Source organism: Homo sapiens, chromosome 11 (genome assembly GCF_000001405.40).
Source record: "Homo sapiens chromosome 11, GRCh38.p14 Primary Assembly".
Lineage (NCBI taxonomy): Eukaryota > Metazoa > Chordata > Mammalia > Primates > Hominidae > Homo > Homo sapiens.
This window is the reverse complement of record NC_000011.10, coordinates 55,640,310-55,652,854: the sequence shown is the minus strand read 5'-3', so window position 1 is coordinate 55,652,854 and position 12,545 is coordinate 55,640,310. Positions and strand designations below refer to the sequence as shown.

The 12,545-nt window shown below is 34.1% G+C and overlaps 1 protein-coding gene across 1 annotated transcript; it reads right to left on the bottom strand.

Annotated features, from left to right (window-relative positions):
• OR4S2 (olfactory receptor family 4 subfamily S member 2) lies at nt 1-4,528 on the bottom strand. The gene is made up of 2 exons (NM_001004059.3): nt 4,305-4,528; nt 1-1,987 (listed from the first exon to the last, which is right to left on the bottom strand). The coding sequence occupies exon 2, from the start codon at nt 1,949-1,951 to the stop codon at nt 1,016-1,018; it is 936 nt and encodes a 311-aa protein (NP_001004059.2). The 5' UTR covers nt 1,952-1,987; nt 4,305-4,528; the 3' UTR covers nt 1-1,015.
• Nucleotides 4,529-12,545: the final 8,017 nt, after the last annotated feature.

Below are 12,545 nucleotides of genomic sequence, written 5' to 3'. Positions count from 1 at the left end.
CCACAATGACAAAAAAGCAAACAGGAAATACCAGCTGGTGAAAGATTTTCACACATTTTTTGAGAAATAGAGAACAGTGTTACTAAGTAGTTAACTTAGCATTGTGGGGGAAGTTATAGCCATCTGAGCAAGGACAGAGAAAACTAGCAAGTTAGTTCACTTGCAAAACTCCTGAGATGCTAAATGCTTGTAGCATACGATTCTACAGAATGTAGGAGTGAAACATACATTGTATTACATGAAAATTATTTTATTTCCACAGGCCATTTTCTACACAGACAGGTAAGAATTCCTCTATATTACTTCACAAAAGATTGGAGGTTTATTCTTTTGAAAGACTGAGCTAAATAATTCCCAGTATTAATGTGGAGGACAGTGATGAAACACGCATGCACAAGGATAAGTGAAATCTACAGTGTGAACTATGAGGCCCTTTCCTCTTGCTGCTCCCCAGATGTCAGCAGTCAGCACACATTACAACCTTATCAATTCCCCACTACTCTATACATAGCCTAGGCAGCAGGGTAGAGGATTGTTTATTTAGAAGGAAATATATGAGTGATACTGTACTGCCCGAAACCTCACAATTTAAGCCCAAAAATATGAAAACACTTCCCACACTTTTGGAAATTCTAAATTTTTTAAAATTTATTTCCTCCACTTTATACATATGGTGAGTTTCTGCTTTCAGGGATGATGATAAAACCAGTGAATAGCAAGGTAGGGTAATAGAAATCTGTCCTCAAAGGAAAGCCAAGAGGAATTGCTCTTCTGCACTTTTGTGATTCTAAGTTTAATAATATTTCTGTGTCATAGATATTTCAGGAAGTTATCTAATTATGAAATAGTATAAAAATGCTATAATAATGAAAAATAATACCTTACTCTTTTGAATGTGTTATTGTCTCATTTTTCCACTCCAAATCCCATGAGGTTGTTATTGTCTTGATTGCACAGATGAGTTAACCAAGGCTGAGAAATTTTAAGGTCATCTAGCTTAAATTATTAAGTCCAACTATTTCCCTTTAGCCTCCAAGAAAACATTTCTGCCCCACAGTTTCTTCATTGCATTCTTTACTTCTGCATTTCTCAGTGTATAAATCAGAGGATTTAACATGGGAGTGATAATGGTGTAAAATACAGCCACCATCTTATCCTCTGAAAAGGTCGTATCAGGGCGCATGTACATAAAAGTACAGGGGCCGAAAAAGATAACGACCATGGCAATGTGGGAGCCACAGGTGGAGAGGGCTTTGCGCCTGCCTTCTGCTGACTGCTTTCTCAGGGAAACTAGGATGATGCTGTAGGAGATTAGCAAGATAACAAAACTCCCCAGAGCAATGGTACCACTGTTGGCTGTCACAACAACACCAACAATGTATGTTTCTGTGCAGGCAAGTTTCAACACAGGGTGAACATCACAAAAGTAGTGATCTATCTCATTGGGTCCACAAAAGGGTAGTTGGACTACCAGAGCCACTTGGATAATGGAGTGTAAGAACCCACCTACCCACGTCCCTAATAACATTTTATTGCATGTCTCCCGGTTCATGATGGTCATATAATGTAGGGGTTTACAGATAGCCACATAACGATCATAGGCCATTACAGTAAGGATGAAGATCTCAGTGCAACCAAAGAAATGTACTCCAAACAGTTGCAACATGCACCCCACATAGGAGATGGTTTTGTCCTTTGCTAACAGGTCAACAATCATCTTGGGAGCTGTGACTGAAGAGTAACAAATGTCCACAAAAGACAAGAAGCTGAGAAAGAAATACATGGGTGACTTAAACAGGTTGCTCAGGCAAACTGTCAGCATGATGAGGAGATTTCCCAGAAGAATGATTATGTAGAAGAAAGAAAACACCACAAAACAAACTTTCTCAATCTCTGGGCTCTGAGAAAGACCCCAGAAAATGAATTCAGTTACGTTGTTTATTTTTTCCATGGAATGGGTCAAGTTCTTAGGAGACAATTAAATTACCTGAAAAAAAGAAAACATAAAAAGGACTGTATTTATTTTATTTCTAACGCAGAACCAACGGAAAATCACAGTAGATCAAAAGAGGAAAAAATGCTGATTGGCATGCATACTTGAAGAAATTGAAATGCATCTATTTTGATCATCTTACCTCAAGATAAGATCACATTCGTTCACTTCAGGTGAGAAAGCAAAATCCAGAGAGATAAAGTAAATCCCCTCAATCTCATATATATGTTACCACATGCCTCTCTTCTCTCACCTTTTATTAATGTTTATTTAGCTGTTTCTAAACTTTATTTAGTTTTTATTTTTTATACGACACTGAGTTTTGAAACAACTTCTGTATTTTGGGATATGGTAACATCTATGTTATCTACTGGCAAATATCTGGAAATGATTGCTTTATTTTTGACCCATAAGTGAAAACATACGCCCACATTTCACCTTTTGAATACTGCCATGCCTGATTATCACATCAACTCACAAATATTCTGCAATTTCTCTGCAAGTTTAACCACTCTTGCCTTTGCAAGTTCTTCTCATGAAACTCTATCTTTGTGCACATGATGTATGCACCTCCACCAGTGTGGTCTCGAGCCCTGATAGTCAAGATGTAGTGTGAGGTAATAGAAAGAGGAGCAAAATTACACAAAATTGATTCTAAAATGATACTACTGTAACCCCCAAGGTAAATTATTTAACTTAACAGAAATTCTCTTATCCCATTTGTGAAATGACAGTTTCAATTTCACTGTTACATATCACATTAATAGTTATTTCAGCCGTGAACTTAAATCACTTCTGTCAGTATGAAATATTCATAAAACCCTGATAGGAAGGCAGAAATAAGGTAAAGCAATAAAAGAAACTTCTAGAGACAAAGCAAGACCTGTTTGATTTGAAAGGAGAGGGAGTGAAGTCTTATGTAATTTCTCCATGTGCAAACTCAGAATACTTTAGGATTTTCCAGGACTGACTTTGCTTTGTATTTTTAAACATTTTTCTATTAACTGAAACGAAGAAAATGGGTGTAAAAAAGAGAAGACTGTCCCTTAATGTCAACATTGCTTCATACATCTTTCTAATCTTTCAAGTTTTATTCTGGCCATATTCATTCTCCCAATTTGGTCGATTTATATTTCTGGAAGAGATCATCACTGAATGACAATTTTAATGGGTTTAGGAAAATGACATTTATCTAAATGGATGAATATTCATTGGTGAAATTTCAGGCACTACAATGGGGTCATTGGTACATGGATGGAAAAGGGTATCTGTAATAGTTTTGATTAAAGGAGCTTTTAGGATTCTTTCGCTAATCAACCGCAGGTGTAAATGATCCCTCCAATTACAGGTGGTCTAGCAGAGACCTGTAGATCCTCTCAAGATCCATCCAGCTGAATGCTGACAACTCCTACTAAACTCTGTGCTCTCAGCTATCCTTATGCAGTGAAGTCGTGCCTAATACTTCCAGCTTTTGGGAATCTATAGGATTGTGTTTCTTCAGGTATTCATGTTAGAGTTGGCACAGTAGTCATTACAGGTGTGCTATCTCTTGTGCATTACAAAATAATGATTGTAAGAGTAATAGTAATATGATTTAGATACAGTCTCAAGCACATCCCCTGCTTTTACATGCTCATTCCTCTTCAGTTATCCTGCTGAATTAAAAGAAAAATACCATCCTCCACTAAGAGAGCCCCTCAACTTAAGGAAGCTCACAACATAGCAGTTTTGAGCAACAATTATTTATGTTGCTTTGCTCTCATCTAGAAGAAACTGGGCTTTTGCACACAAGCCTGAGGATTTTTTCCCCTACCGTCCATATCACAAGGTTCTAGAGGAATTTTTTTTTTCATTCACCAATCTATTTTATTCAGGTATTCATTTATCTTAATTGCAGGATTGAGATCTAAAGTTCCATTTATCAGAATGTGCATCCTAGTAAAGGCTGTTAACCTTCTGAATCATGGCCTCTCTTGACTCCAACTGATGCAGTAACATCTTGCTGTTTCTCTCCTTAAGCCAATATCCATCACAAGGATGCCTTCCTCCTTTATCTGGGCATGTTGGGCATAATGACTCACTTTCCTTTGAAATTATTGACATTTTCTTATTTGTGTCCATCCTACCCTTCCTCACAGTCATGTTTAGGTACATGTTACTATCTTACTATCATGATTTTAATAATTTCATTCTCTCTGTATTTCAGAGAACAATATTTTTCCATTATTTTATAAATGTTCAAAATCTAACAATTTAATTATCTTTTTCCACAAATATTCTGTATTCGTTTGAAAAGAAAAAAAAATCTCACCAGTATTTTCCAGAGCTTGAGTTCACTTTATGTTTCTATCTCTTCTTGAGTTAATTTGGGTGCAGCTTCCCAAGGTAAAGTAACAGTGATGCCTAGGGAATTCCTTTGTGAATAATTAGTACCGGAAAATACCTGACCCCCCAAACTGAAAGGCTGGTAGAAATGAGTCTTTGTTGTTCCTGGTTTTCTCACCTAATGATACCTGCCATTTCACAGGGTCTTTGACAATAAATGCTGTTTTCTCTATTCTTACAGGTCTATTTAAAGAGGAAGATGCAAAATGATAAATGACCTTGGAGACAGCTTTTCCCCAAAGTCTTCCTCCATAGTCAAAATCAAATTGCAGCCCTACCAATGAACTTTAATTCTAGTGTCTGTTCAATTTTTTAAAATTAAATTTTAAAAATTGTTGCTAAATACAAAAACCGATCAATTCTCATATTAACGACTATAGCCCTAATCCAAAGCAATTCAGCCAAGAGAAGTAATAATTTTATCATTCTAAACCTTGTTTTTGAATTAATATGCTTTACTATATGCATTAAATAGTCCATATTTGATATAACATATTAAGATATCTGTTTTATGTTATTTATTGAATTGTAATTGTTCTTTCTTGAAAGCTATATTGTAATAGAAAATAGTATATTCGATTGTGCTATTTGGGAACATTGCTTTTCTTCTTAATTGATTCTATGCTGATTTATGGAGAAATAGCTGGGATAAGGTTCATGTTTGGCCTATGCTTGGAATAAGTATGGTGTTGAATTTAATTCATTTACTTTTATATTGTAAATTCTTAAGGTTGACTCACGAAAACTAATAATAATCTTGCTTTTTCTCTTCCTATTTCTATTAGTTTCTTTCCCCATGCTTGACTTTTTTACTTTACTCTTCTTACCTTATCTTACCTTTTTCTTTATTTCAAACAACATCCAAAATGTCCAAGAGATCCTACTTATATTTTCACTATCTGGAGTTAGCAGAAGAAATGAGTGAAAAATAAAGAGTAGGAAGTAAAAGAGCAATTATGCCCAGGTTTGTGGAAACATTCATCATGATTAAGCTAGTGTGTTAGTTTCCTGTTGCTGCTGCAATGAATTACCACAAACTTAGTGGCTTAAATCAATACAAAGTCAGTATTTCACAGTTCTGCAGGTGAGAAGTCCAAAATGAGGCTCACTGGGCTAAAATCAAGGCATTGGAAAGGATGAATCCTTCCGAAGTCTGTAGGGGAAAACTCATTCTGTTCCAGCTTCTAGAATCTACCAGCTTCCTTATGGCCCCTTTCCTTCATCTCCAAAGCAGGCAGTGTAGCATCTTCAAATTTAACTTATTCTGCTTCACTTTCCCATTTTAAATAAACCTTGTGAATACGTTGAGCCCACATGGATAGTGCACGATAACATCTTTGTTTTAAGGTCAACTGACTAGCAAACTTAATTTTTATCTACAATCTTAATCACCTTATCATGTAACAAAATATATTGATAAGTTCTGAGGACTAAGATGTGAACATCTTTGGAGATCCCTATTCTGCTGCTCAGTTATTTAGATGAGTAGTGGGGCGAGTCAGTATATCTTCTATTCCTACTTTGCAAAATGTACTTTGAGATCTAGGAGATGTTTAAAAATATGTTTTGGAACAAATGCTAAATATAATATATAAATAATGGAATATTAATGTTCATATTTTATAACAGAAATGTGTGCAAAGGAAGGATATCTGATGAGAATTATCACTTGGATTAAAAAAGACAGCTACATGTCATGTGATAGGAAAATGATAGTAAATTAATAAAAGATATAAGAATAGTACATACACAGCAACGGTCAATAGATTTAACATTCATTTATTATAATAGCTTTATTGCGATATGATTCATATACTATGTAGTTCATCAATTTAAAGTGTACAGTTTAATTAATTGATGTTTCATAAGCAGGGTTGGGCAACCATCAACACAATCTAAGTTTACAACATCTTTGTCCCCTCAAAAAGAAACCCCATTCTCATTAGCAATCACTCCTCATTCCTCTCTCACACCATCACCCCCAGCTCTAGGCAAACACTAATCTACTTTCTATTACTACAGATTGGCATCTCTGGACTTTTTTTTACATAAAAATAATAATACAATATGTAGTTTTTTGTAACTTGCTTCTTTCACTTGCCGTAGCATTCTTAAAGATAATCCCATTGATGGGAGTGTAAATTAGTTCATCCGTTGTGGAGGACAATGTGGTGAGTCCTCAGAGATCTAAAGGCAGAAATCCCATTCCATCCAACAATCCCATTACTGGGTATCTACCCAGAGGAATATAAATCATTCTATTATAAAGACACATGCACACATATGTTCATTGAAACACTGTTCACAATAACAAAGACATGGAATCAACCTAAATATCCATCAATGATAGACTGGATAAACAAAATGTGATACATATACACAATGGAATACTCTGCAGCCATAAAAAAGAATGAGATCATGTTCTTTGACGGGGCATGGATGGAGCTGAAGGCCATCATCCTTAGCAAACTAACACAGGAACAGAAAACCAAATAAGGCATGTTCTCACTTATAAGTGGGATTTGAAAGCCATATTTTTCTTGAGACCAATAGATATGAACACTTTTTTGTAATACATTGTTTTCTCTAGATTAAATTTACATACAAGGAAGTGCAATGTTTTGAAGTATATGCTTTGATGATTTTTGACACATGTATATATTCATGTAACCACTAACAAATTCAAGATGTAGAAAACTCAACAACTCAGAAGTTTTGTCATGCACCTTTTCAGTTCATTCCCCCAGATACAACTACTTTTCTGGTTTTTATGATTCAATTTTAGTTTTCCAATTGTAAACTTATTATGACTGATTGAAGCATTTATTCATTTGTGTCTAGACTGTTTTGAGATTTATCATGTTGTTTTGTGTATCATTAGTTCATTATTTTCCTTTGCAGAAGAGTGTTTGCTGAAAAACATCCTATAACGTTTACTCTAACAACTTTTGTCTTTTAAATGCAGTATAATTATATGTAACGTTATTGAGATTTTTGAATTTAAGTTTCTATTGCTGCAGTTTACTTTGTCTCCTCTATAACTTTCTTCTCAATTTTCTTTATTAACTTTGACCTAATCAAGAAATGTTTTTGTGTACTATAAAATTCTATCCTCTTTTCTGTCTTTTTCTAAAAATAGACTATCTTTAGGGCACTTCTAGTTTCTCACACAGCAAAATTGAACAGAAGGCATAAATATTTCCGATATAGCCTCTGGCCCTACTCATGCATAACTTCCTTTATTATTAACATTGTCCAACCAGAGCATTTCATTCTTTACAACTGGTGAATCTACATGGATACATCATTATCACTGAAAGTCCATAGGGTTTATTCTTGTTACACAACAGGGTTTTATAATGAGATTCTGTTGGATTCATTCTTGGTATTGTATATTCTGTGGGTTTTGGACTATGTATAAAGACATTTCTGCACTCTTATATCATACAGAATAGTTTCATTTCCCTAAAATTGCCTGCACCCCACCTATTTATCCTTCCCACACCCCAAACACAGTTTTACTATCTCGATAACTTTACCTTTTCCAAAATGCCATATAATTGTAGTCATACATTATTAGTATTTTCAGATTGGCTTATTTCACTTAATAATATGCATTTAAGTCTCCTCCATGTCTTTTCATGGGTTAATAGCTTCTTTCTTTTTAGTGCTGAACGATATTTAATTGTCTGAATATACCACAGTTTATTTATGCATAGACCTACTGAAAGACATCTTGGTTGCTTCCAAGTTTGGTGATGCAGAGAAACCTAACATAAACACCTGAATGCCAGGGTTTTGCATGGACATAAGTTTTTCACTCCTTTGGGTAAATACCAAGTGGTATAATTGCTGTATCTTATGGTAAAAGTATGTTTAGTACTTGAGAAACTGCTAAACTCTCGTCTATGGTGGCTGTGCCATTTTTCATTCGAACAACAATGAATGAGTGTTCCCTTTGCTCTACACACTCACCAGCATTTGGCATTGCCAGTATTATGGATTTGGTCATTTTAATAGATATGCAGTGGTATATCATTGTTGCTTTAATTCATATTCTTCTGGTCACCTGCGATATGTCGTATCTTTCCATAGGCTTCCATGTCATCTGTATATCCTCTTTGGTGAGATGTCTGTTAAGGACTTCAGCCTATTTCTTTAGTCTGGTTCTTTTCTTCCTATTTTTCTCTTTATTATTTTTATATAGGTATACTCTTGTCATGGAGATTTGCTCCACAGATTATTTTGTCATCCATGTACTAAGCCTAGTACCCAACAGTTATGTTTTCTGCTCCTCTCCCACCTCCCACACTCTACTCTCCAAAAGGCCTCAGTATGTGTTGTTTCCCTCTATGTGTCCATGTGATCTCATCATATAGCTCCCAGTTATAAGTGAGAACATGCAATATTAGTTTGCTAAGGATAATGGCATCCAGCTCCATCCATGTTCCCGCAAAAGACAAAGACATAATCTCATTCTTTTATATGGCTGCATAGTATTTCAGGGTATATATATATGTATACATATATATAAAATCACATGTATATATATATGTATATATGTAAAATCATATATATATATGTATACATATATATATATAATCACATTTTCTTTATCCAATCTATCATTGATGGGCATTTAGGTTGATTCCACATTGTTTGTTTTCTTATTGTTTGTTTTAAGATTTCTTTGTATATTTTGGATAACAGTCTTTTATCAGATATTTTTTGCCAGTTTTTCTGCAAGTTTGTGGCTTGTCTTTTCATTCTTTTGATATTACCTGTCACAGCAAAGAAATGTTTATTTTACGAAATCTAGATCATCAACTCTTTCTTTCAAGGATGATACTTCTGAGGTTATATCTAAAAAGTCATCACCAAACTCATGGTCATCTAGATTATCTGTAACGTTACCTTGTAAGAATTTTATAGTTTTATATTTTACGTTTAGGCCTATGATCTATTTTAAGATAATTTTCGTAAAGAGTTTAAAACCCAGATCTAGATTGTGATGTGGATTATTCAATGCTGATGAAGAGTTAATTTGTGACAGGTTAATTATAATTAATTATTCTGTGGAAGAATTAACTACAAAATATGATAAATCCCTTCAATTTAGTTGTTGACTATACTGTTCTATATATGTCTATTAATGCTGCTTATGGTTTTGGATCAAATTCTCTCTATCCTTCTCCATCTATGCAAAGTTAGAGTTTGTAAATATTTCTATCTTGCAAATTCAATTAATATTTAATTATTTAAGACACAATAATCAATATTGCTTCAAATGCTAACATATTTGCCTGCTTTATCCTTTTCATGCCTTCAGTTTCACTTTCATGTGTATGTGTAATCGACCGTTTAGGTACATCTTTTGTGAAAGCACATTTGACAAACTGTATTTTAAACCATTATGATAATTTTCATTATCCTGCTGAAGAATTTACTACATTGTGTTAATTTTGTTTTACTTATATATTTTAATTGGCTTCTATGATCTTTTTTTGCTTTTATTTTTGCTTTTGCCCAATTTTTCTGTTTCCTTCCCATTTTCTTGCCTTTTATTTGGAATGGTATTGTTCCTTTTTAAAAATACATTCCTGGCTGGGTGCAGTGGGTCACGCCTGTAATCCCAGGATTTTGGGAGGCCGAGGCAGGCAGATCACAAGGCCAGGAGTTCAAAACCAACTTGGCCAATATGGTGAAACCCTGTCTCTACTAAAAATACAAAAATTAGCTGGGCGTGGTGGTATGCACCTGTAGTCCCAGCTACTCAGGAGGCTGAGGCAGGAGAATCGCTTGAACCCTGGAGGCGGAGGTTGCAGCGTGCCAAGATCGTGCCACTGCACTCCAGCCTGGTGATAGAGCGAGACTCTGTCTCAAAAAATAATAATAATACATTTCTTTGTCTCTTTTTCTCTCCCACTCCTGCTATTTTAGTAATTACTGAAAAAATCATATCTGTACATTAATATTACCAAGTCTGAATTTAATCAGTGTCTTTTCTTTCCTACCAAACAATACTTCTTTTCAACTTCCACTATGTTGTGGTCTAAGTTTTTTGTTCTCTCCTCTATTTTTCATCTTATATATTAGACATGATTAATATTTTTAACACAATATCTCAGTTTACAAATAAGGTTAGTATTTTCCTGATTCATTATTCCTTCCTGGATTTTTAATTTTCCTTCTTGGAACATCTTTCCTCTTAATAAAAATTAATATTTACAACTACTTTAAGTGAGTGTGTCTGTATAGTGAACTCTTGGCCATTTTTAAATTGCGGTTTCTTTTGTTTTATTCTACTGAAGACTCCCCACTTCACTTTTCTTGAAAAAATATAGACTTCAAGGATAATATTTTACATTTGGCACTTTTAAAATGTAATTTTATTTTCTTCTGGCTTCTAGTCTGTGTTTTAATTTTTATTTATTTATTTATTTATTTTTTAGACGGAGTTTCGCTCTTGTTGCCCAGACTGGAGTGCAATGGCATGATCTCTGCTCACTGCAAACTCTACCTCCCAGGTTCAAGCGATTCTCCTGCCTCAGCTTGCTGAGTAGCTAGGATTACAGGCATGTGCCACCACACGAGCGAATTTTGCATTTTTAGTAGAGACAGGGTTTCTCCATGTTGGTCAGGTTGGTCTCAAATTCCTGATCGCAGGTGATCTGTTCGCCTCGGCCTCCCAAAGTGCTGGGATTACAGGTGTGAGTCGCTGCATCCTACCCTGTGTTTTAAATTATTATTAATTAGAAATAATATTTTGTAGGGCTCTTTTTGAGAGCAACTCTTTCACTTTGTTGTAATTTTTTTCTAAATATTTCTCATAGTTCTAGAAATTGTCAATTATTATCTCTTTAATTTTATTTTCTCACTATTTTATAAATCCTGAAGTTTGGTAGATATATGTTGCCCCCATTTATTCCATTTCTAAGGTCTCTTAATATCCCTTTAACTTTTTCCATATCTTTGTCTCTCTCTTCTTTGTTCTGAGTAATTTTGTTGCTATTTGGAATTCACTGATTAATTAGGATACACTACTATGTTTTATCCACTGAGTTTCTAATAAAAATAACATTTTATTTATTTCTTGAAGTTATTTTGTTTGTTTTCTAACAGCCTAGAAAAATTTTAAACCAATGTTGTAATTTGACTTTAAAATCATTTTCTATTTTATACAATAAAGATTTATATTATATTTTGTGTCCATTAATTACAATAAACCCAGTCTTTGTATGCTGTGCTCTGATGTAGCTGTTTCCAACCTAATGTCTACCTATATTCCGTCATTTTTATTGTGTGATCATTTGCTTTTGAGCAAATTTTTTCTTCTTTTAATTTTTGGTTTTCTATATGAGCAGATTTATTTCAACTATGCCTTAAGTATAAATTCCTGAAAAGACTTTATTTTCTGCATTATGTGCCTGCACACACATGTGTGTGTTTGAGTGTGCACGTGACAATCCAGTATTAGTATAAACTCATAGCATGCCTTCTTCATTTGGCATCACTGCCCTTATTGGGAGTACAGTGAAGTATATTTTTTATTCCTTCTTAGAAGCTAAACACAGAATTTTCCTAGTTTCATTTAATATGGCAAGTGACTTCATATGCTACAATGAATATTCTATTTGACAACATTTTTCAGTGGTGATTCCTGTGTCTTAATCTTGCTATCATAATCTAATGCTGCATTCCTGGAAGTTTTTCTAAGCTTCATTGTGTAAATTACCATTCTAAGAGCTTTCTTCCTTTTTTCCTATGATTGACAGACAATTTTGCATTAATCAGCTTATCCCATACCCCATTGTGTGGATCCTAGAAGTGCAAGATGTTTCACTTATTTATTTCTAAATGTTTTATTTCACTTAGTGTTTTTCTATGGATAATTATTTTTTCAATAAATATCTTTCATTTTATATCAGTAATACATTATGAAAGAATATTAATACAAATATAGTACTTACTATTTTCTTAAAATTGTTTTAATTACATTATAAAGTATAATGAAATAATAAAAGACATACATTCACCAAAAAAGACATGTGTCAAAATGTTCAAAGCCGCACTATACATAGTAACCCGAAATGGGAAACCACGCAAATGTCTGGCAACAAGGGAATGGATAAATCAATCATTATATATTCATATGATAAGATACCGT

Coding starts and splice junctions, on each gene's coding strand:
- OR4S2 (NM_001004059.3), bottom strand. CDS start 1,951: ATGGAAAAAATAAACAACGTAACTGAATTCATTTTCTGGGGTCTTTCT.